Source organism: Homo sapiens, chromosome 11, assembly GCF_000001405.40.
Source record: "Homo sapiens chromosome 11, GRCh38.p14 Primary Assembly".
Taxonomy (NCBI): domain Eukaryota; kingdom Metazoa; phylum Chordata; class Mammalia; order Primates; family Hominidae; genus Homo; species Homo sapiens.
The window spans coordinates 108,181,188-108,204,886 of record NC_000011.10 but is presented as its reverse complement, the minus strand read 5'-3'; the positions used below and the strand labels follow the sequence as shown (position 1 = coordinate 108,204,886).

At 40.9% G+C, this 23,699-nt stretch overlaps 1 protein-coding gene across 3 annotated transcripts in view; it reads left to right on the top strand.

Annotated features, from left to right (window-relative positions):
- Positions 1–23,699, top strand: part of NPAT (nuclear protein, coactivator of histone transcription) — a 65,424-nt gene that overhangs the window by 17,752 nt on the left and 23,973 nt on the right. For all 3 annotated transcript variants that reach the window (NM_002519.3, NM_001321307.1, XM_011542854.3), the window contains exons 2-10: positions 7,467–7,585; positions 10,870–10,930; positions 12,697–12,769; positions 14,387–14,427; positions 15,557–15,781; positions 16,708–16,789; positions 18,318–18,405; positions 19,393–19,484; positions 19,568–19,655. In NM_002519.3, coding sequence (NP_002510.2) covers positions 7,467–7,585; positions 10,870–10,930; positions 12,697–12,769; positions 14,387–14,427; positions 15,557–15,781; positions 16,708–16,789; positions 18,318–18,405; positions 19,393–19,484; positions 19,568–19,655 — 869 coding nt within the window. The remainder of the gene's footprint in view (positions 1–7,466; positions 7,586–10,869; positions 10,931–12,696; positions 12,770–14,386; positions 14,428–15,556; positions 15,782–16,707; positions 16,790–18,317; positions 18,406–19,392; positions 19,485–19,567; positions 19,656–23,699) is intronic.

Genomic DNA, 23,699 nt, shown 5'->3' with positions numbered 1-23,699 from the left:
TAAAATTGATGGCATCCCTTAGGTCTCTGAGACTCTGTTCACTTTTCATCATTCTGGATTTGTTTCCATTCCTCAGATCAAAGGACTGTTACAACTCTGTCTCCTTCGTGCCATCCACAAGGCAGCGAATGATAGGGGGATGTGTTTCAGCTCATTTGTGTTAACAGCTCATTCAGGCCCACTGCCCCACTCTGGCTTGCGGCTCCTGGGCCTGCTTGGCCCTGCCACTGCTTCCTGTCATGTGGGGCGGCTGTCCGCTCCTGGCAGAAGGCAGGAGGGCTACAATGTTATAGCCCCTTTCCCACCGGCAGGTTCTGCAGGTTCGGCAGGTTCGGCAGGTTCCAGGGTTTTGTCCCGCATCTGAGAAGAATGAGATTACATGGACATGAGAGACTGAGCAAGGTGGAAAAGGATTTTTATTGAGCAACAGAACAGCTCTCAACATGAGAGGGTACCCAAAGTGGATAACCCTCTGTGTGATAGGGGTCCCAAAGGTAGGTAACCCCACGTGTTGCTGAGTCCAGGGTTTTTATGGGCTCAGAATGTGGGAGTGCATGTTGAGTGGTCTGTGGGCGGGCATTGGATTGGCCTTAGGCATCGAGGAAGTTTTCATTCTAGTTGTGGACTCTGTCCGGAACTGGCATGCAGTTTTCAGGCTTCAGGCCACCTTTGACTTGAATGTTGGGTTTCACCATGGACCCACCCCTGTCTGCCTGGGAATTTGTCTCTTGCTGCTATCAATCCTCCCTCTGAAGAAGTACATCTAACTGCCATTAGGATAAGGACAATGACCACAATTGCTGCTTTCTGCTGACGGGGTGCTGTTTTGCAAAAACAGCAGTCTGATCTCTCTCAGAGGCCTAAGAGTTCCCAGTAAAAGGGAGCCATCGTCTGAGGCTCCATTTGCATGACCATATGGAGTTTAATGATCTCTAATTGAGAAGAAACAAATTTTACAAGGAGGTTAAATATACATGGACCAAATATGTGTATTATACAAAGAGGAGCTAGAAGGGAAAAATGTAGTCCCAAAGATAACAGAAATAAGGAGCAAAATAGACTAAACATGCTGAAACAATGTTATGGCTAGAGCTGTTTCACCCTAGTGAAAGAAATTAAATCTTGTATGGGGACAGTTAAACTTTAGAAGAAAAATAACTGTTTAGGGGAGTATATAATCCCTTGGGGGTTCAGGATTAAGGGGTCCTTGGCAAAGATGCCTTGTGAGGAACAGAACAAGGGTGAGAAGAGCAAGCCTAGGAGAGACTATAAAGAGGATGTTCATGGTAGGTTAATGACACTTAACCTTTTGTCATTTAGCTTGAGGTCTCTGATTTTTTCACACTGGTACTTCGGGTACTGTTACAGGTCAACAGAGATAATTCCGTCAGTTTTCCCAGGCCTTTACTCGAGTATGATGAATCTAAGAATATTTTCCAGTGACATTTACTGCCATAGGAGTAGAAAGAAGTATGGTATAAGGTCACTCCCAGTGCCGACCTAGAGAGGGAGAGAGGGTAGGAAGTGCCTTTACCCAGTACTATGTCCCCTGGGTTGAATAGAGATGGCCCTAGTTCACAGAATTGGGCCTCTGACAGTTGTTTCAGTTCCTATTGGAAATGGGCCAAAGATGTTATACATGTAATCTAATCAGAGGTTTCTTGGTCTAGCAAGAAATCATTGGTGAGAAAAGGTCGTCTGTACATCATTTCAAAGGGAATTAAACCCAGCTTTGAAGGGGTGTTTCTGACATGTAGTAGGGCTATGGGAAGAAAAGTAATACAGGGCAGATGAGTCTCTCAAGACAGTTTTCTGCGGTACCTTTTGATAATATCATCTGTCTTTTCTCCCTTTCCTGAAGATTGTGGTCTCCTAGCACAATGAAGATAGTATTGTATGCCTACTGCCTTTGAGACCCCCGGGTGACAGCCTCCTTGAAGTAAGGCCCATTATCACTCTGGAGGTGTTTAGGAAGTGCAAAACGAATAATTACATCATTAATTAGTACTTTTATCACCTCAGAGGCTTTCTGTGTCCAACATGGAAATGCTTCTACCCAGTTAGTGAAGATATCTACCCACACTAGGAGGTAGTGGATGCCTCTCGTCTTCTGCATAGGGGTGAAATCTATCTGCCAGTCTTCCCCTGGGTAACCTCCCATTATTTGGGTTCCAGAAGGGAGAAGATGTTGCTTGAGGGGATTATTTCTAAGGCAAGTCTCACAAGCATTAGTGACCTTTTTGACCATTTTTAGCAGATTTTTACCTGAAAACCACATTTGGGCCAATTGATAGGTTTTATGCTTACCTAGGTGGAGGGCTTGCTGAAGGATTTTAAGAACTTTTAAGAACTACCTGGCTGGTAGCTGGTAGATGAAGTTTGCTGTCCTCTGATTGCAGCCATCCCGAGGGCTGAAAGGTGTGTCCCTGAGAGGTGGCCCATTCTATTTCCACAGGAGAATATTGAGGTTTTATTTCTCTTGGAGCCCTCCCAGATCAGAGGGGCCTCAAGTGGATCAGAAATCTGGGGCCCTCTTGCTGCCGACTTAGCTGCTTGGTCTGCCACCTTAGTTCCCTCAGCTATTTCATCTGTTCACTTTTGGTGGCCTTTACAATGTAATATTGCCACTTCCCATGGAAGGAAAACTGAGGATAATGATATCTTAATTTCCTGGTGGTATGAGAGACCTATTAGCTGTGAGGAAGTCCCTTTCTTTCCAGATAGTGGCATGGGCAGGGAGGACTAGGAAAGTATACTTAGAATCAGTATAAATGTTAACTGCTTTCCCTTTGCTTTATTCAAGCACCTTTGTGAGGGCAGTTACCTCAGCTAGTTGATCACTTGTGCCTGAGGAGAGAGGCATGCTATCAATAATATCATTTAGGGTGACTATTGCATACCCTGCTTTATGGATCCCTTATTCCACAAAAGAACTTCCATCTGTAAAGAGAGTCCAGTCTGGGTTCTCTAAGGAGGTTTCTTCAAGGTCCTCTCTGACCGCATAGGTTTGCACTACTATCTGTTCATAGTCATGTTCAAGCTCCCCAGCTTTCTCTGGGAGGAAAGTTGCTGGGTTTAGGGAAGGACAGATTCTTAACTGCAGATCTCTCTAATAGCACAGCTTAATATTTGAGGAGATGGTCATCCACTACCCAGAGCCTCCCCTTAGAGAACAGCAGTCCTGCCACATTATGTGGAGTATAAATGGTTACGTTATACCCCATGGTCACCTTAGTGGCCTCTGGTACTGACAAGGTTACTGCTGTGACTGCCCGGAGGCAGGCTGGCCATCCTTTAGCTACCAAATTCAGCTCCTTGCTTAGGTAACCTACAGGTTTCTGGGCTGGACCTTGGGCCTGAGTTGGAACTCCCTGGGCCATTCCTTTCCTTTCTGATACATAAAGATTGAATGTCTTCCCTATGGGAAGACTAAGGGCTGGTGCCTCAAGCAAGGCTTGTTTCAGTTGGTCAAAGGTCCTTTTAGCCTCTGGTTCCCAAATTAGGGAGTGAGTCTTAGTTGCCTGAGTCTCCTTTATTATGTGATATAAGGGACAAACTATTTCACCATACCCAGGTATCCATAGTCCTGTAATCCCCAAGAATCCTCTCAGTTGCTTGAGGGTTTTGGGGAGAGGAAAAGAGGAGATGGACTTAATTCTTTCTTCACCTAGTTCCCTGGTCCCCTCTGACAAGACTAGACCTAGGTACTTCACTGAAGTCTGACAGAGCTGAGCCTTAGATTTTGAGACCTTATATCCTCTGTTAGCCAGAAAATTAAGACAAGCCTTACTGTCCTCCTGAGACTTCCTCAATTGGAACGCAAAGGAGAATGTCATCTACATATTGTAAAACTTTCACCTGAGGATAAAGGAACTGCCCAAACAGCTGGGGGCTGTCTTAGAATCCCTGCGGTAACACCATCCAGGTTAGCTTTGTGGTCTGGTTGGATGGATCTTTGAATGCAAATAAATACTGGCAGTTGGGGTGTAATGGTATGCAGAAAAAGATGTCTTTTAGGTTCAGGACTGTGAACCATTTAGTTCCCTCAAGTATTTGAGTTAGTAGGGTATAGGGATTGGGAACCACCATATGGATTGGAACCACAGCCTCATTAATGAGGCAGAGGTCTTGGACCAGTCTCCTTCCTTTGTTGGGTTTTTGTACATCCAATATCAGAGTATTACAAGGGCTGTTGCAGGGTTTAAGGAAGCCCTGCATCCTTGAGTTATCAGTGATGGCTTCTAGCCCTTTCCTAACTTCTGGTTTTAGGGGATATTGTCTCTGGTTAGAGAAGGAGGTGGGATCCTTAAGGTGGACCTAGACCAGTATGGCAGTTGTGGCTGCACCAATTTTCCTTTCAGTTGCCCAGACTTCTGGGTTAATTAATATTGGTCTGCACTAGGGTGAGACAAAGAGTCTGTCCTGGAGCCATAAGGATGATGGGTCCCGTACCAGCTAAAATAGCCCTGCCTAGCAGAGGAGTTGGGCTTTCAGGCATGATTTAAAAGGCATGGGTAAACAAAAGGTCCCCTCAACTATAACTAAGGGGTTGGGAAAAATATCAGATTAAAGGCTTTCCTGAGACATCCCTCACAGTCACACTAAGAAAGGAAGGGGAGGCCTGGCCTAATAAGTTGCCTCCCAAGAGGGAAAAAAATCAGTCTCTTACATAGCAAAGCTCCCTGTAGTCATAGGACTGTGCTGACTCCTGACATGATTGCGGGGGCGGAAACAACTTAAACGCAGGTAGGGGAAGTTGCCTGAGGGAAATAACCTCTTGCCCAATGCAAATGGATTCCTTCAACAGGGGAAAGAAAACTCTCAGTCATTGCATCCTTCTTGCTTCTAAGAACAGACAAAAACCAAGTTGTTCTGAATTACACTGCTGATGACTAAGCAAAATGCTCATTCCACTCAATAATATTATCACTGTGGTTTGCAGCAACACCCTTAACGTTGTGTATGAAGAAGAGATAGGAGCCAGGAAGAGAGAAAGAAAATGCTATAGGAAAGACTGGAGGTCTTGACTGACACCCGAACGGGCTGTTGGGGATTGGGGCCAGTCCAGGAGCCTTCAGGTAACACTGAGGTGTAGCCTCAGCCAGATGCCTTCAGTTGCCCGAGGACCTTATTCCGATCCTATGCATTGGCTAGACCTCTGTGAAGGGAGACTGGATTGAAACAAAGCCAACATTCCCAGTACCCGAGGGTGATGGCAGAGGCTTGACAAAATCTTCCCCAGCAAGCCTGTCCTTTGCAGCTGTGCCATTCGCTCTTAACTGGCTGACAGAGGCCCAGTGCTTCATCCGTTTTTGGAAAAAAAATGTGAAGGCAAGAAGCCTCAGAAATGAAAGTGTAAGAGGTCCACTCTTACCCTTGCACAGATCCCAGACAAGCCTCCAGAAATGACACAGGATCCATTCAGTGCCGCTATGCTGTCCAGCATCTCTGTGGCCTGTGGCGCGCCTGCCTGGGCCTCGCTCGCCTCTAGGCTCATTGCTGGGCCCTCTCTGCCCACTTGACCCAGCAGACTGCTTCTGGCCCGGATTCCATGCCCACTGCAGCTCTGCATTAAGCCCCGCAGCTGGTCCAGTTGTGCCATGATTGTCTTCCACCTTGGGAGCCGGCGTCTGGGTGAGGGTGACACAGCAGCGCCCAAAAACTTGGAGATACCAGCAACCACAGAGCCCCAGCTGTTGCCCAGGGAGTTCTGAGGTCTGAGCCCCCAAGGACCGTTACAACTCTGTCTCCTTCCCACCGCCCACAGCATGGCAAACGGAGGTGGCAGGGGAGCGCATGTTTCAGCTCGTTTGTGTTACAGCTCATTCCGTCCCTCTACCCTGCTTCAGTCTGCTTCAGTCCTGGGCTGGCCCAGCCCCACTCCTGCTTCCTGTTGGGTAGCTGCCCAGTGCCAGCGGAGGGCTGAAGGGCTACAATGTTAAGAGTTCCTTTCACACCCACCATTCAGCAGGTTCTGAGATCTTGTCCTGCGTTTAAGAAGAATGAGGTTATGTGGACACTGGGGAGTGAGCAAGGTGGAAGAGGGTTTTCTTGAGCAACAAAACAGCTCTCGACACGAGAGGGGACCCAACGTGAGTAGAGCTCCATGTGAGAGGGGATTCCAAAGGCAGGTAGTCCCCATGTGTGGTTGAGTCTGAGGTTTTCATGGGCTCAGAATGGAGGTTTTTATGGGCTCAGAGTGCAGGCTGATTGGTCCATGGGTGAACCTGGAAAAAGCACCATTTGATTGGCTAAAAGACATCTAGGAAGTTCTCACTCTGGTCATGGGCTCTACACAGAACTGGCAGTCCAGTTTTCAGGCTTCAGACTGTCTTTGGCTTGAAAGTTGTCGGGTTTCACCGGGTACCCTACCCGTCTGCTTGGGAGTTTGTCTCCTGCTCTTATCAACTGTATTTCTTTATTCATATTTTCTATGTTGTGAGAGATTATTCTCATAATTTTCTAGACGTGGATTCCTTTAGTTTTTCCAACTTATTTAAAATTGCTTATTTAAAGTCTCAAGTCTAATGTCTGGATTTCCCTAGGCAGATTTTTGGTTTTTTGACTCTGTATGATCCATACTTCCTTATTTCTCTGCATATCTCATAATATTTTGTGGAAAATAGGATGTTTTAAATAATATAATGTGACAACTCTTGAGATTAGATTTTTCTTCTTCCATGTTTGTTGTTGTCTTAGCTGTTGCTGTTTGTCTAGTGAGTTTGCTGAACTAATTTTATGCAGTCTATATTCTGTGAAGAGTTGATACTCTGATTGGATGATGATTTCCTTAACTACTGGGAGCAAATTAATATCCCATTGTTTGCCAAGGGGGTCTGTGTGTGCTTTGGGGCATGCTTTAGTTCAGCCAAGCAGTTGACCCACTCTGCCTTAGCCTTCCTTCACTAGTTAAGGTTGATGTTCTTGTTGGAATTGATAATGCTTTGATTCCCAAAGGGCATAAATTAAGAATTAAGGGAGTTCCTGTCTCAACTTTCATGCAGAGTAGGTCTTCTGTTCATTCTTTTTATAAATCATTTGGCAAATAAATGAAGTATACAAATACATAGCAGTGTTGTGAGAACATAGTTTTCTGATAACGCAGTAAGTGAATTTATACCATCAACTGACTTGGTCTTTATGGAAGTTATGCAGTAGAGGGACATAGTTATTTATCATTAATTTATTGGTTCTCCTGTAAGTACTGTGAAGTAATTATACTTTGTTAAACACTTTATTTTACTAGTTTAGCTAGAATTGTTTCTTGTGAAAGGGCCACCTGTTCTATGAACTGTACTTTGTATTGCAGCACAACCTGGTGTTTCTGTTCAAGGCTGCCAAACACTAGAGCATTCCACCTAAGGTTTCAATTGTGACATCAGTACATGCTACAGCATTTTCAATAGCAGTTTTAACCAAAAGTACAGAATTTAGTATAAGTACCTAAACTTTTATTTTTTATTTAGGTTACTTACAGCAAGAAAACCTCATTTCTACCTGCCAGACTTTTATTTTGGAAAGTTCAGATTTAAAAGAATATGCAGAACATTGTACAGATGAAGGGTTTATTCCAGCCTGCTTACTGGTGAGTTATTTGTTCCTTAAGGGAAATATTTCATCAACACAAGAGACTAAAAACATAGTCATAAAATCAGCTTATCAGAAAAAAAAAATTGAAATTGGCAGAAATTTGGTGGTTTATATTCATGCATGACTGGTAAGACCCAAAGAAGACCAGCTTTTCTTTTTACAAATTTATGCCAAAACTATTAAATGAATTACAACTTTGACTCCGAGAGTTAGTTTCAAAATGACACCCTCGTTTCTGATTAGTTTCGCTGCTGCTGTCTCCAAGCCTTTTTTTTTCTTCCTGACCTGTATCTGGCTGCTCCTTTTAGACAAATATAAAACAGATATTTTGATATATTATTGTCATCTCTTTTGTTAAATATCACTAGACCAACAAACCATCATTTGGTACATAGTGGATACCTTCCAGAACTACATCATTTCACATGGTGTTTGCCATTTTATTTTAATCATGGCTCCTTAAAGGCTATCACAGATAACATGAATGTCTGCTTAGGAAACTGAAAATGATGCAAAACTAAAGTTAAGCAGGGTCATAGAATACAGAATATACACAAATCCATTATATTCCGTATGCCTGCAATGAACAATTGGATTTTGAAAATACCCGTTTATAATAGCAACAAACAAACAAACAAAATGCTTAGAGATAATCTAACAAAATATGTGTGAAATCCAAATGCTCAAAATTGCCTGAGATCTAAGGCCTGAATAAAAGGAGAATTGTATTGTGTGTACAAATTGAGAGACTCAATATTGTTAAGGTGTTAGTTCCTCCCAATTTAATTATAGATTTTTCACAGTCAAAATGCCTGCAAGCATTTTTATAGATAACACAAAGCTGAATTCTAAGTTTTAAATGGAAAAGAAACTAGAATAGCCTAAACAGTTTCTGAAAAAGAACAACTTGGAGGACTCACATTACCAGACTTCAAGACTTACTAAAAAACTATGATAATCGAGATGAAGGGGCATTTTTGATAGTTTAGGCATGTGGAACCACATACAAGTCCATGTAGAGACCCACACATCTGATTTTGACAAAGGATTAAAGACAATTCATTGCAGAAAGGATGGTCTTATCAACAAATGTTGCTGGAACACTCAGACATCCATATGTAGAAAAAGAACCTCTACAAATACCTCATACCTTATGCAAAAATTAACCAAAATGGATCAGAATGTAAAACACAGGACCGTAAGACTTCTAAATGAAAACATAAGAAAAAAATTGTGCAAAGTTGGATTTGACAGTGAGTTTTATATATGACACCAAAAGCATGGGCTATAAAGGCAAAAATTAGGCAAATTCAACTTTATAAAAAATTAAAAACTTGCTCTACAAGAGGCACGTTAGAAGAAATAGGCTGGGCCAGACCCAATGGCTCATGCCTATAATCCCAGCACTTTGGGAGGCCCAGGCAAGAGGATTGCTTGAACTCAGGAGTTCTGTACCAGCCTGGGCAACATAGTGAGACCTCATCTCTAGAAAACAATTTTTAAAAATTAGCCAGGTATAGTGGTGCACTTAGTCCCAGCTGCTTGGGAGGATGAGGCTGGAGGATTGCATGAGCCCAGGAGGTCAGGGCTGTTGTGAGCCACAACTGCACGGCTGCACTTCAGCCTGGGTGACAGAGTAAAACCCTGTCCCAAAAAAAAAAGGCTGGGTGAAAATATTTATATCTTACATGTCTGATAAAGGGTTTGTACCCAGAACATATGTATAGAATTCTTAAAACTTAACAACAAAAACCAAACAATTTTTTAAGTGGATAAGAGATCTGAAGATACTTTACCAAAGAAAATATACAGATGGCAATAAGCATATGAAAAGATCTTCCATATCATTAGTCATTAAGAAAATGCAAATTAATACCCCAGTGAGATACTAATTCCTGTTAGAATGGCTAAAATAAGAAAACAGGTTTAAAAACTGGCAAGTCCTTCACCACAAATATGCAGAGCAGCAGGAACTCTTGTTTCTTACTGGTAAGAATTAAAAGTCATACAGTGGCTTTTGAAAACAGTTTGACATGATTATGACATGATTATATGATTATGCATGTACTCCTCATGTGAACCAACACTCACATTACCCAAATCAATTGGAAAACTTGTTCTCACAGAAAAACCTAGACACTGGTGTTTGCTTATAGTGGCTAAAAACTGAAAACAGGCTAAGTGTGGTGGCTCACACCTGTAATCCCAGCACTTTGGGAGGCCAAGGCGAGTGGATAGCGAGGTCAAGAGTTCAAGACCATCCTGGCCAAGATAGTGAAACCCCATCTCTACTAAAAATACAAAAATTAGCTGGGCATGATGGCGTGCGCCTGTAGTCCCAGCTACTCGGGAGGCTGAGACAGGAGAATCGCTTGAACCCAGGAGACAGAGGTTTTGGTGAGCCGAGATTGTGCCACTGCACTCCAGCCTGGGCAACAGAGCAAGACTCCATCTCAAAAAAAAAAAAAAAATACTGAAAACAGGCCAGGCGTGATGGCTCACACCTTTAATCCCAGCACTGTGGGAGGCTGAGGTAGGAACATGGCTTGAAGCCAGGAGTTCGAGGCTATAGTAAGCTGTGAGCAGCCACTGTACTCCAGCCTGTGTGACAGAGCAAGACCCTGTCTCTAAAAAATAAAAATAAATTTTAAAAACTGGTGACAACGAAGATGTCTTTCAAAAATTGACAAACTCTGATGTGTTCATAACAGCAATACTCCACTACTCAGCAATAGAAAGCAACATGCTATTGATTCACACAATAACGTGGATGAATATTAAATAAATCCTTCTGATTTCTTCTAAATTAACAATTCTGAACAAATAACAAATTGTAGATAGTGGGAGCCAGATTTCTCACTGTGTGAGGAAGAAGATACAAATAAACATAATAATGAAACCAGTGGTGTTGGGTTATAGTCTGAGATATTGGTATGACACTGTAGTTATTTTAATATATATATATACAGCTAGATGATACAAATGCTTGTGTATATGCATTTGTACATGTATGTATAGCTGTCTGCTGAGAGGGTCTGGAAGCAGTGATACCCAAGTAGCTATAATGTCCTAGTCAAACAGGCAAGATTCTTTAGAAGCTTGGATGCAAACCCTAATTTCAGTGGCTATTTTCATTTTCGATTACCTGCTTCTTTACCCTTTCCTCATCGCTACTCTGCAGTCAGATCTTTTATTAAGTTGAATGGTAGAATCTTTTCTTGTGAGAAATTATTGGTAGTATTATACAATTTTGGTAATATTTGATCTTTTTCTTTTCAGTCCTTATTTGGAAAAAACTTGACAACAATTTTAAATGAGTATGTAGCTATGAAAACAAAAGGTAAGAGTTCTGATTTGGAGTTTTTTTGCTGATGTATACAATATTTATCTACTTGATTTAGTTAAAAATGATTTCTAAAGGTTATTAATGTCTCATAAAAGCCTTGAAAAAACTTGTCCCTGTTGTAATGAGATAAATTTTTCTGGGACACATCTAATTTGTTTGTGGGTTTTGGTTTTTTGTTTTGTTTTGTTTTTTTGGTTGTTGTTTTTTGTTTTTTTGGTTTTTTTTGAGACGGAGTTTCAATCTTGTTGCCCAGGCTGGAGTGCAGTGGCGTAATCTCAGCTCACTGCAACCTCCAGCTCCTGGATTCAAGCGATTCTCCTCAGTCAGCCTCCCAAGTAGCTGAGAATACAGGCATGCGCCACCATGCCCGGCTAATTTTGTATTTTTAGTAGAGCCAGGGTTTCTCCATGTTGGTCAGGCTGGTCTCGAACTCCCGACCTCAGGTGATCCACCCACCTCGGCCTCCCAAAGTGCTGGGATTACAGGTGTGAGCCACTGCCCCCAGCCATTTGTTTGTGTTTACATTGAGTGGTACATAAATTGCAACAATCTTTATGTTAGCAAAAATAACCCAAAAACTACCTTTAAAAAATATGTAAAATAAAACTCTTACCTCTGTGTTATCTACACTGATAAACAGACATCACTATGTGTTAAAAAGTTTTAAACTGACATTTTAATTTTAATTCTATGTAGTCTAAGTCTGAACACAGAAGCCAGTCATACACTGGCTTATAGTTACTAGAATATAAAATTCTACTTGCCTAAATTAAGGATGTTTTAGAGGGAAAGTTTTGACTGCTTATTCTCTAATATTGATTATTTTCAATAGCTTACAACATTAACAAAACAATTAGCACTAAAGAATTCGCATAAGATGATAACAAAGGAAAAGAAGCTTGACATTTTTTGACATTGTCTGTGTATAAGCATTGTGCTACGTGCTTTCATATGTTTTTTTTCTCATTTAGTCTTTTCTTTGTTTGTTTTTTTTTTGAGACGGGAGTCTCGCTCTGTTGCCCAGGCTGGAGTGCAATGGCGCGATCTCGGCTCACCGCAACCTCCGTCTCCCGGGTTCAAGCAGTTCTCCTGTCTCAGTCTCCCGAGTAGCTGGGACTATAGGCGCACGCCACCATGCCCAGCTAATATTTGTGTTTTTAGTAGAGACAGGGTTTCACTATGTTGGCCAGGTTGGTCTCAAACTCCTGACCTCATGATCTGCCCACCTCAGCCTCCCAAAGTGCTGGGATTACAGGCGTGAGCCACCATGCCCGGCCTCTCATTTAGTCTTTAGAATAACCCAGTGAGAGAGATTGTTTAAAGCCATTTTTAAATATGAGAAAATTGAGGATTAAATTTCCACACTTATAAGGAATTTGCATAACCTTTATGATAATTATTATAAGACAGATTACTTTAATTCACTTTCATATGTCACATGATATCAGATAGAACAAAGATCAAAAAATTGTTTCTCCTTTTTTTAATAAAATGAAGGTGTAAAATTATTGGCCAAAAAATGCTTCAGAGATTTTACAGATGTCCATTTCTACTCATATTGTATCTGATACTCAGTGGCTTTAGAAGAGAAAGCAACCGCATTATAGCTTTGCAAGCTATTTTACAACATAGATTTATTTCTCATTTTCCAACATACTGTCAATAATTGAGAGACAAGGTTTTTTGTGTGTCTTTGTTCAGAATGAATGATGAAATTTCTTCAGCTGGGTTTATTAAGAACCTTTTCTCCTATGATTTAGAAACATCAAATAATGTCCCAGCAATAATGTCATCTCTATGGAAGAAATTGGACCATACACTTTCTCAGATCAGGTAATAAGCTATTAGAATGTGCCTAATGATTTTGGAATGCAAATACACTTTGGGTTTAAATCTTCTTAAGACCTACACAGTGTACTTATATAACACTCATCCAGTTTTGAAATTACTCTAGAGGTTGCTGGTACTGTGGAGGTTACTGACTGACATAATTTGAAATAAATAGCATACTTTTAATAAAATATTTAGAAAACTAAGATATGTAGTAGTTTAATGACATTTCCAAGTTTCCATAGCAATTTAAAGGCAGATATATTGTTAGAATACAAATCACCTAATCCCAGGCCACTGTGAATTCCCTTAGGCAACTGTCTCTTTATTACATATTCACAGAATTGATGCGTTGAACCCATGCCCACTTGGTTTCTTAACTTGTAAAGAAAAAAGCTTGAAGAATAATGCTAATTCTGAAATCTTCTGTTATCAATTTTATGAAAATCTCATATTTGACTATAGAATTTGTTATGAAAACCATAGTCTCTTAACCTTTCTTTCAGAGCTATAAGTGACTACCCCACCTAACTTCAGCATGGGTTTCATTTTCTTCCTCTGCTTAACCTGCTAAAATGGCTCCAAATGCTTTCTTCTTAACTCTGGACCACATCTTACTTGGTAGTCTTATCTTTATATTTCTCTTTCCTGACTCGAGTTTTGTGGATCTTGTTGGAGACTTACTTGACATATTTTTTATGATAATGGCACCGTGTCTGTGACTTTATCGAATAAAGGGGTGGGCCACTCTAATTCATACTAAAAGAATTAACTTGTACTGTGAATTTTTCCATGTTTGTTGGCATCTTCTTTAGAGGTACAATAAAATAATTTCATAGTCATAAATTTTATAAAAGCTGGATGTCCTCTGACATCAACTTGGGGATTCTGAAGTATTTATATATGGAGTCATGTGAAATCAGAATTTCTCTGTGGGAAGGCATCTCTATAATTGTGAAAGATAATAAAAAATGTATACTTTGTATATTCTTACTCAAAAATGTTAATATGTAGAGTTTCTAAAGTTAAATTATCTTCTGTTCATTTTTTTAAGAGGTAGGGTCTCACTCTGTTACCCAAGCTGGAATGCGGTGGTGTGATCATAGCTCTTGTAGCCTTGAACGCCTGAGCTCAAAAGTTTCTCCCACCTCAGCCTCCCAAGTACCTAGGACTACTGGCACATGCCACCTGGCTAATTTTTATTTCATTTTATAGAGACAGAGTCTTGCTATGTTGCTCAGGCTGTTCATGAACTCTCGGCCTCAAGTGATCCTCTCACCTCAGCCCCCCAGGGTGCTGGGATTGCAGGCATGAACCACCATACCCAGCCCAGATTGCATTCTTAACGTAATGTCAAGGCACTCTAATGCATTATTACATTGGATAGAAACTTCTTAATGAAAATTATGTGTGTTGTGAGTGTGTCTACATGCCACTATTTTTCTCCTAAAGCAAATCACAGTTGCTTGCCCAAAAAATGTGTGTGTTTGTCTTTTTTGTCTGAGAGAGATTTTTTGCCTTTTACCTCATAACTAACTTGAGGTCTGACTGTAACTAAATCATAGTGGATGTCAGCAACAAACATTTTTTGATGGATAACTACTTTGTTTTCTTTGTTAGGAGCATGCAAAGTTCCCCAAGGTTTGCTGGCAGTCAGAGAGGTTGGTATCCAACTTTAAACAATGTTCACAATTACTTCAAACTTAAACTATCAGATGAACATTTTAATTCATTGTACACATGTGCTAAGTATATATTTTCCTTAAACTACTGTTTTTCTTTCTTTTTTTTTTTTTTTTTTTTTTTTTGAGACAGTGTCTCGCTCTGTCGCCCAGGCTGAAGTGCAGTGGCACGATCTCAGCTCACTGCAACCTCCACCTCCCGGGTTCAAGCGATTCTCCTGCCTCAGACTCCCAAGTAGCTGGGACTACAGGCGTGTGCCACCACACCCAGCTAATTTTTTTTGTATTTTTAGTAGAGATGGGGTTTTGCCATGTTAGCCAGAATGGTCTCAATCTCCTGACCCCATGGTCCGCCTGCCTCAGCCTCCCAAAGTGCTGGGATTACAGGCGTGAGCCACCGCACCTGGCCAAACTACCGTTTTTCTAAGTACAGTTATGTTAATTAATATTTTCATTTATCATTAAAATATTTTGTAAATACTCCCTACATTTCACATTGACTCATGTAGAATGTTTTAATTCTCATTTCATAAGTTCAGGTTTCTTGTTTTTTGTTTTTTTTTTTTTTTGAGACGGAGTCTCGCTCTGTCGCCCAGGCTGGAGTGCAGTGGCGCGATCTCGGCTCACTGCAAGCTCCGCCTCCCGGGTTCACGCCATTCTCCTGCCTCAGCCTCCCGAGTAGCTGGGACTACAGGCGCCCGCTACCACGCCCGGCTAATTTTTTGTATTTTTAGTAGAGACGGGGTTTCACCGTGTTAGCCAGGATGGTCTCGATCTCCTGACCTCGTGATCCGCCCGCCTCGGCCTCCCAAAGTGCTGGGATTACAGGCGTGAGCCACCGCGCCCGGCCAAGTTCAGGTTTCTTAATTCATGGTGTTATCAATATTAATTACTGCAGAACAAATATAATCTTGGATTTATAAAGCTTGATTGTATTCATTTTAGTTTCTTCTGAAAGTCGCATAAATTTAGTTGATATATTTAGGAATCATTCTTCAATCTGTGGATGTAACACGTTGTTATATAATAGGTTGCATCATATTGACTTCTTACAATTCCCAAACTACCCTGACGTTGAATTTGTTTTTTAAATGCTTATATGTTTCAGCCCGAACGAGAACTGGAATTGCAGAAATCAAACGGCAGAGAAAGCTTGCATCTCAAACAGCTCCAGCCAGTGCAGAGTTGCTCACTTTACCTTACCTTTCAGGACAGTTTACCACTCCTCCTTCCACAGGTACACAGGTTACTCGACCAAGTGGCCAAATTTCAGATCCATCGAGGTCATATTTTGTAGTGGTCAACCACTCACAGTCACAAGATACTGTAACCAGTAAGTTTACATTTTGTTCTCTTAAATTTTGTTGTTAATCAAATTGTATGAATGAGATAATATACTAATGTCTTTATACTCATAGTGTAAAATTATGGCCCCCCCCATAAAAGATGAGAGAGACTAAAAGTGGAACAGACTTCTAGATTTGCTATAAGCATATAAAATCTTTAAGGCATTTTAATCTAGGGTTCTTCCTATTTCTACGCTAATTGAAGTCTTCAACTCTCTAATTCTCAATTTTTGGCATTAAGAGAAAAAGAAGCTGTTGTATTTGATTTTAAATGGAATGTACATTATATTTTCTACTTCCTTGCCTTTGTTGATGTCAGTCTGTCCTCCTGGAATGAGGAATGCCTTTCTACTTCTCTATCTTTACATGTTAGAAATCCTACATATGCCTGGCTGAACCTTAGAGTTAGGAATATCCTTAGAGAGTGTGTGGTATATCTTATTTGTTGCATACTTGAAACTTCTGAAAACACATGGTAGTTAAGGGATAAGAAGCTAGTTAATAACAGAGTTGGGATTAGAATTCAGGAGTTAGCACTCTCAGTTCACAAACCAATTATCTTTCTGTGCAGCTAAAATTTGTTGCCATCAAGATCTCCCTCATTTTCACCTTTTCCAAATCCTTTTCTACACCCAGAATGCTTAGTTTATACTTCTTAGACTTTTTCCATTCTACTGTATTATTTTTTGTTGAGACTATATTGTACTTTGGATTTTATTGTAAAACCTTAAGGCATAAAGACTGTATTTTATTAATCTTAGTGTCTTTTACCATGCTTTACACATGGTAGGCACTCAGTACATGTTAATTGAATTTAATATAAAATAATAATCACTAATGCTTTTTATCCCATTACAAGTTTAGAAAACTATTCAGTTTCTTTGGCTTACTGTTATGTTTTCTTGAAATACAGCTGGAGAAGCTTTAAATGTCATTCCTGGTGCTCAGGAAAAGAAAGCACATGCCAGTTTAATGTCTCCCGGTAGACGCAAAAGGTAAATGCTTTTTAAAAGAGACAAGTTACCCGTATCCATTAAAAAAAAAAAAAAAGAATTACATCAGGATACTTACATTGTGAATAAACTAATAGGACCAGATTATGTTCTGATCTATATTAGAACTATTCCAAAATACATTGTCTTTCTTCACATTTTAACCTGCCTGAAATTGGGTTGCATCTCTCAATTAATGGCATATCACTGTTTCATGGGAAATATGTTTATTCTGTAATGGTATATAAAATAATGGTATATCTTACAAATGATGTTATCTGAGATTTTTTGCAATCCATGTTTTTTAACTGAATGTAAATAATACAGTTATGTTCTATGCTCCACACACATTTAAAGTCCTAAGATCAATTGATGGAATTTTTCCAGGCACAATCTTTGAGAAAAGTGTTTTTCCCAAAACACTTTTGAGAAAAGTGTGTCTTTGTTTGAAGGATATTTTTTGAAAGAGATAATAGTTTTAAAATGTTTATTCTAGTTTCTTAGCTCCCAAGCCCTGGGTATTTTTGTTAGAGTTTTTACTTTTGGTTGTCTTTCATTCAAGACTGACCTTAGTTAGCCTCCTTTATTGGAGCCTTTCTCACTTCACCATATAAAATAACAAACAGCAATATCCATTTTTTTATTTTTAGAGATAGGGCCTTGCTGTCTTGACCAGGTTAGAGTATAGTGGTACAATCATAACTCACTGCAGCCTCGAACTTGTGGGCTCAGAAGATCCTCCCACCTTAGCCTCCCCAGTAGCCAGCAGCACAGGCACATGCCGCCACACCCAGCTAATTTTTTTATTTTTTGTAGAGATGGGGGTCTCACTTTGTTGCCCAGGCTGGTCTGAAACTCCTGGCTTCAAGTGATCTTCCCACCTTGGCCTCCAAAATTGCTGGGATTACAGATGTGAGCCACCATGCCCAGCCATAAAAGAGCAACATTAATATTTAACATTTATAGGAACCCTGACTTTTTAAATAAAGTCTTTATATATACTTTATTTCATTCCATTCTTTAGTAAACCCAATAATGCAGTTGGTCATTATAAAGTAGGTTAGAGAGTCAGAGCTTGCTGTGCTTCAGACCATAGGTAGTAAGTGGTAAAGCTAGACTTCAAACTCATTTTTTTGAATTCAAGACTACTAATACTTTTTGTACTTCCCTTTGTTCCTAACACAAATAGAGAAAATATAGTTGACCTTGAATAACATGGGTTTCAACTGCATGGGTTCATTTATACTCAAGTTTTTTTCAACCGAACACAGATTAAAAATTTAGTAGTAAAACCTGCCTATATGCAGTGTGCTGACTTTTTGAATACATGGGCTTCCTAGTGCAGACTGTAGGACTTGAGTACATGTGGATTTTGATATCCTTGGGGGTCCTGAAACCAGCCCCCTGCAGATACAGGGACAACTGTATCTGTTCTGTTATGGTGATCTTAAAATTTATGTCTGTATATGTATTTATCTTTAAATCTGTTAAATATAGTGGTTAAAAGAAAAGCTTTTAAAATGTGTTTCAGTGAATCTCAGAGAAAAAGTACCACTTTGTCTGGCCCTCATTCAACAATACGGAATTTCCAAGATCCAAACGCTTTTGCAGTAGAAAAAGTAAGTGACTCTGCCAAACTTTGCAACTTAAAATATTCCTGAGTTTAAAAATACAGATATATACACAAATGTATGTATGTGTGTATGTATCAAATAAAGAAACAGGAGTAAGTTTATAGATATCTGTAAATACATTGTTGTTGTTGGATCATTTAATAAAATACTGGCCAGGTGCTATGGCAAACACCTGTAATCCCAGCACTTTGGGAAGCTGAGGTGGGCAGATTGCTTGAGCTCAGGAATTCAAGACCAACCTGGGCAACATGGTAAAACCCCCTCTCTACAAAAAATACAAATATTAGCTAGGTGTGGTAGCACGTGCCTGTAGTCCTAGCTGCTTGGGAGGCTGAGATGGGAGGACTGCTTGAGCCTGGGAGGTCAAGGCTGCAGTGAGCCATGATCATACCACTACACTCAAGCCTGGGTGACAGAGTCAGACCCTGTCTCAAAAAAAAAAACTGGCCGGCGAGTAGTGGCTTGTACCTGTAATCCCAGCACTTTGAGAGGCCAAAGCCAGCGGATCTCTTGAGGCCAGGAATTCAAGACCAGCCTGGACAACTGTCTCTACTAAAAATACAAAAATTAGCTGGGTGTGATGGCACACGCCCGTAATCCCAGCTACTATTCAGGAGGCTAAGGCACAAGAATTGCTTGAACTGCGAGGTGGAGGTTGCAGTGAACTGAGATTGTGCCACTGTACTCCAGGCTGGGCTATAGAGCGACACTGTAAAAATAGGGCATTTACTGGGGTTTGATGATGAGTGTGGAACTGTATAAGAAAGAGTTGGTGAAAGATCTGTGAAAACATTTGCAAATTATGAAGTGTTGTATTCAGGTATTAATATGGAGGGAGCCATCACAACTTCTGAGTTTCCATTTAGGTTTATTAAAACTATCCAGCTCTTATCGGTTTGTTCTTTTCTTATAAATATTAAATAGCAGAATACTCTTTATTGTCCTTTTGCTAACAGTGGCTTTCTTTTCCAGCAAATGGTTATTGAAAATGCACGAGAAAAAATACTAAGCAACAAATCTCTTCAAGAAAAGCTAGCAGAAAACATAAATAAATTTTTAACTAGGTAAGCTATATATGTTTAAAATGCCTAATTGTTTTTGCCTAATTGCATAACTATAATAAAGATTTTTCTTTCTTTATTAACAGTGATAACAATATTGCCCAAGTACCTAAGCAAACAGATAACAACCCTACGGAGCCAGAGACTTCAATTGATGAATTCCTAGGACTTCCGGTATGGGTGGTTGGGGTGTGCATGGGTGCGTGTGTGTTACTTATACTTAAGATTGATGGTAATTTTGGTTTCATTTCAAAACCATTGCCAACATAAGATGTTATGATTTGCCATCTAATTAGATAAAATGATTTACAATAGTAAGATAAAACTTTTCTTCATTCATTGAATGCAGTCTGTTCCTGAAAAACACATTGGATGATGACTTAAAATAGAATCTATATTGCATCCACAGTCATGGATTCCTAAGTATTCAATACTTAAACATTTATTAGTGGGTATATTTGTGTGTAATAAACAGTAATACAGTGTTTATATAAATTACATTTCTTCTACACTGCTACAAATTGTATAATAATTTAGAGAAACAATGAAATGATACAATAAAGATATGTAATGGGGCCAGGCATGGTGGCTCAATGCCTGTAATCCCAGCACTTTGGCAGGCCAAGGAGGGCAGATCACTTAAGGCCAGGAATTCGAGACCAGCTTGGCCAACATGGTGAAATCCCATCTCTACCAAAAATACAAAAATTATATGGGCATCATGACACATGCTTGTTATCCCAGCAGCTCGGGTGGCTGAAGCAGGAGAATCCTTGAATCTGGGAGGGCGGAGGTTGCAGTAAGCGGGGATCGCACCACTGCTCTCCAGCCTGGGTGACAGAGCAAGACCCTGTCTCAAAAAAATAAGAAAAAATATGTAATGAATCCAAGTAATAGTTAACAAAATAAAATGAACAAGACTTTTTTTTTTTTTGAGATGGAGTCTCACTTTGTCGCCCAGGCTGGAGTGCAGTGGCACAATGTCAGGTCACTGCAAGCTCTGCCTCCCAGGTTCATGCCATTCTTCTGCCTCAGCCTCCTGAGTAGCTGGGACTACAGGCGCCCACCACCATGCCCGGCTAATTTTTTTGTATTTTTAGTAGAGACGGGGTTTCACCATGTTAGCCAGGATGGTCTCCCTCTCCTGACCTCGTTATCTGCCCGCCTCGGCTTCCCAAAGTGCTCGATTACAGGTGTGAGCCACCGTGCCCGGCCAATAAAATGAGCAAGACCTTTTTAAAAAGAAAGATTGCTAACCAAATGACAACTTGCCTGTGAGGCTTAATACTAAGAGAAGAAAGATGGGGACAATGGTCACTGTTGCTATTGGTAGTAAATACAAAAGAGAGTGAGCTAGTAAGGGAGGAATATAACAGTCTATGTTTTAAGATTTGTTCATGTGCAACTATCCTTTAATTTACTTTTTTTTTTTGAGACAGGGTCTCACTTTGTTGCCCGGGCTTGAGTGCAGTGGCTCAATCACGGCTCACAGCAGCCTTGATCTCCCCCAGCTCAAGTGATACTCCCATCTCAGCCTTCTGAGTAGCTGGGACTACAGGCACATGCCACCATGCTCAGCTAATTTTTGGTTTTTGTTTGGTTTTGTTTTTTGAGGTGGTGTCTCGCTGTGTCACCCAGGCTGGAGTGCAGTGGCACGATCTTGGCTCACTGCAACTCCTGAGTTCAAACGATTCTCCTGCCTCAGCTTCCCAAGTAGCTGGGATTATAGGCATGCACCTCCACGCCTGGCTAATTTTTGTATTTTTAGTAGAGACTAGGTTTCACCATGTTGGCCAGGATGGTCTTGAACTCCTGGCCTCAAGTGATCTGCCTAACTCGGCCTCCCAAAGTGCTGGGATTACAGGCATGAGCTATCTCACCTGACCCAAGTACCCTTTTTGAAGAGCAGCTGCAATTGTGATTTTAGGACATCTTTTTACTTGGACCATTGGACAATAGAAATATTTTTATTGGCATGCCCATGTGAGTGTATTAGAGCAGGTTTTCTTTCAATTGAATTCTGAGTAAAGCCATTGAGCCCTTGAATTGTTTTTCTCTATGTCAGTTCTACCAGTACTTCTTTCAAAAACCTCTCTTATCTTACCACTTAATAAATATGGGCCAGGCACAGTGGCTCATACCTTTAATCCCAGCACTTTGAGAGGCCAAGGCAGGAGGACTGCTTGAGCCCAGAGGTTCAAGACCAGCCTGGACAACATAATGAGACCTCATCTATACAAAAAAAATTTTTTTTTTAATTAGCCAGGTGTTATTGCATGTACCTGTTGTCCCAACTACTCGGGAGGCTGAAATGGGAGGATCACTTGAGCCTGGGTGCTCAAGGCTGCTGTGAGCTCTGATTTCACCACTATACTCCAGCCTGGACAACAGAGCAAGACACTGTTTCAAAACCAAAAAACAAATATGTATGCTCTGTTCTAAGTTTTTGTGTTCTCCAACTTTTTGCTTATTGTTTCTTTATAAATACATCAGGTGCTTACCATAATCAGGGTACTCTGTTAAACACTGTGAAGGATTGTAAGAAAGTAAAGACACAACCTACTGTTCTTGGTTGTTCATAATACTGTATTCGTAGAAAGTTAAGAATTAAGATTTAGCTGGGTGTGGTGGCTCACGCCTGTAATCCCAGCAGTTTGGGAGGCTGAGGCAGGTGGATCACCTGAGTTCAGGGGTTGGAGACCAGCCTTGCCCACATGGCGAAACCCCATCTCTACCAAAAATTAGGTAGGTGTGGTGGCATGCACCTATAATCCCAGCTACACAGAAGGCTGAGGCAAGAGAATCGCTTGAACCCGGGAGGCGGAGTTTGCAGTGAGGCGAGATCGCGCCACTGCACTCCAGCGTAGGCGACAGAGTGAGACTCCGTTTCAGAACTAAAAAGAAAAGATTTAAATAACAGTTTTTAAGACAGTATAGGGAATTTTGTAACACAGAAATCCCAAAAGGCTCGAGAAGTAGCACCAGGACGTCTGAAAGTCCCTCTGAAAGCTGAGGCTACAAACAGGATAATAAGGTGTAAAATTCCAGGGGTCATGATGCTTCAGCCTACCCAGGGTGTGCAGGGAGAGAGCTCTCACTCTTCTTTGACACTTAGAAGTCCTGTGTCAATAGTACCAATTCTATGAGTGGGGCTGTCACATATGCAGACTCCTTTCTGACCCCCATACCAAGGAAGATGCCAAGGTGACAAGGGGAAAAAGCACACTGGCCTGGTAGTGCTGCCCTTTAAGAATCTGGCTCAGCCTCAGCCTGGTGACCCTAAACAGCAATGGCAGGGTCTGGGTCAGCAAGACACAGCTCTCTCTATGCAATGCTGGAATGAGTGTCTCCAGTCTCTTATTGCTGATGGGAACCTTGTAAAAGGACCTGCATATCCTGGACAAACTGAGACACAGGTGGCAGCACAGGCCCCACCCCTTGAAAAGCCATCACACTACTTGACTGACCATGACAGCACTATGGATAAACTTCAAGCTTTTTAGGTTAACTTCTGTCTGCCACAGATTCTCAGGAAAAGATACCGTCTTTCTAAGCAGATGACAGTCCATGACCTGAATAACCTCTTAGTGAAGATTTTCAGATTTTGCTTCACATGCTGGGAAGCTCACCAAGGCTTTAGATTTAGGAGGAGGATTTTTTTTTTTTTTATTATGACCTCGATGCAGGCCTCCTTTCCTTGGATGCAAAATTAGTGTGATATAAAGGAAAATGAACAACAAGCACATTGTGGTACTGGTGAAAGAAGTGCCTACCATTTTGAAGCCCAAAGGGGAGTGTTTATTTTTTAATTTTTAATTGTAAAAATAAAATATATAATTTACGATCTTGACAATTACTAAGTGTACAGTTTGGTAATGTTAATTATATTCACATTGTTGTGCAATAGATAGCTGTAAGTTTTTTTTGTTTTTGTTTTTTTTGAGACAGAGTCTCGCTCTGTCACCCTGGCTGGAATGCAGTGGTGTGATCTCAGCTTGCTGCAATCTCTGCCTCCCAGGTTCAAGCGATTCTCCTGCTTCAGCCTCCCAAGTGGCTGGGACAACAGGCATGTGCCACCACGCCTCACTGATTTTTTGTGTTTTCAGTAGAGACAGGGTTTTGCCATGTCGGCCAGGCTGGTCTCGAACTCCTGACCTCGGGTGATCTGCCCGCCTCGGCCTCCCAAAGTGCTGGGATTACAGGTGTGAGCCACCACAC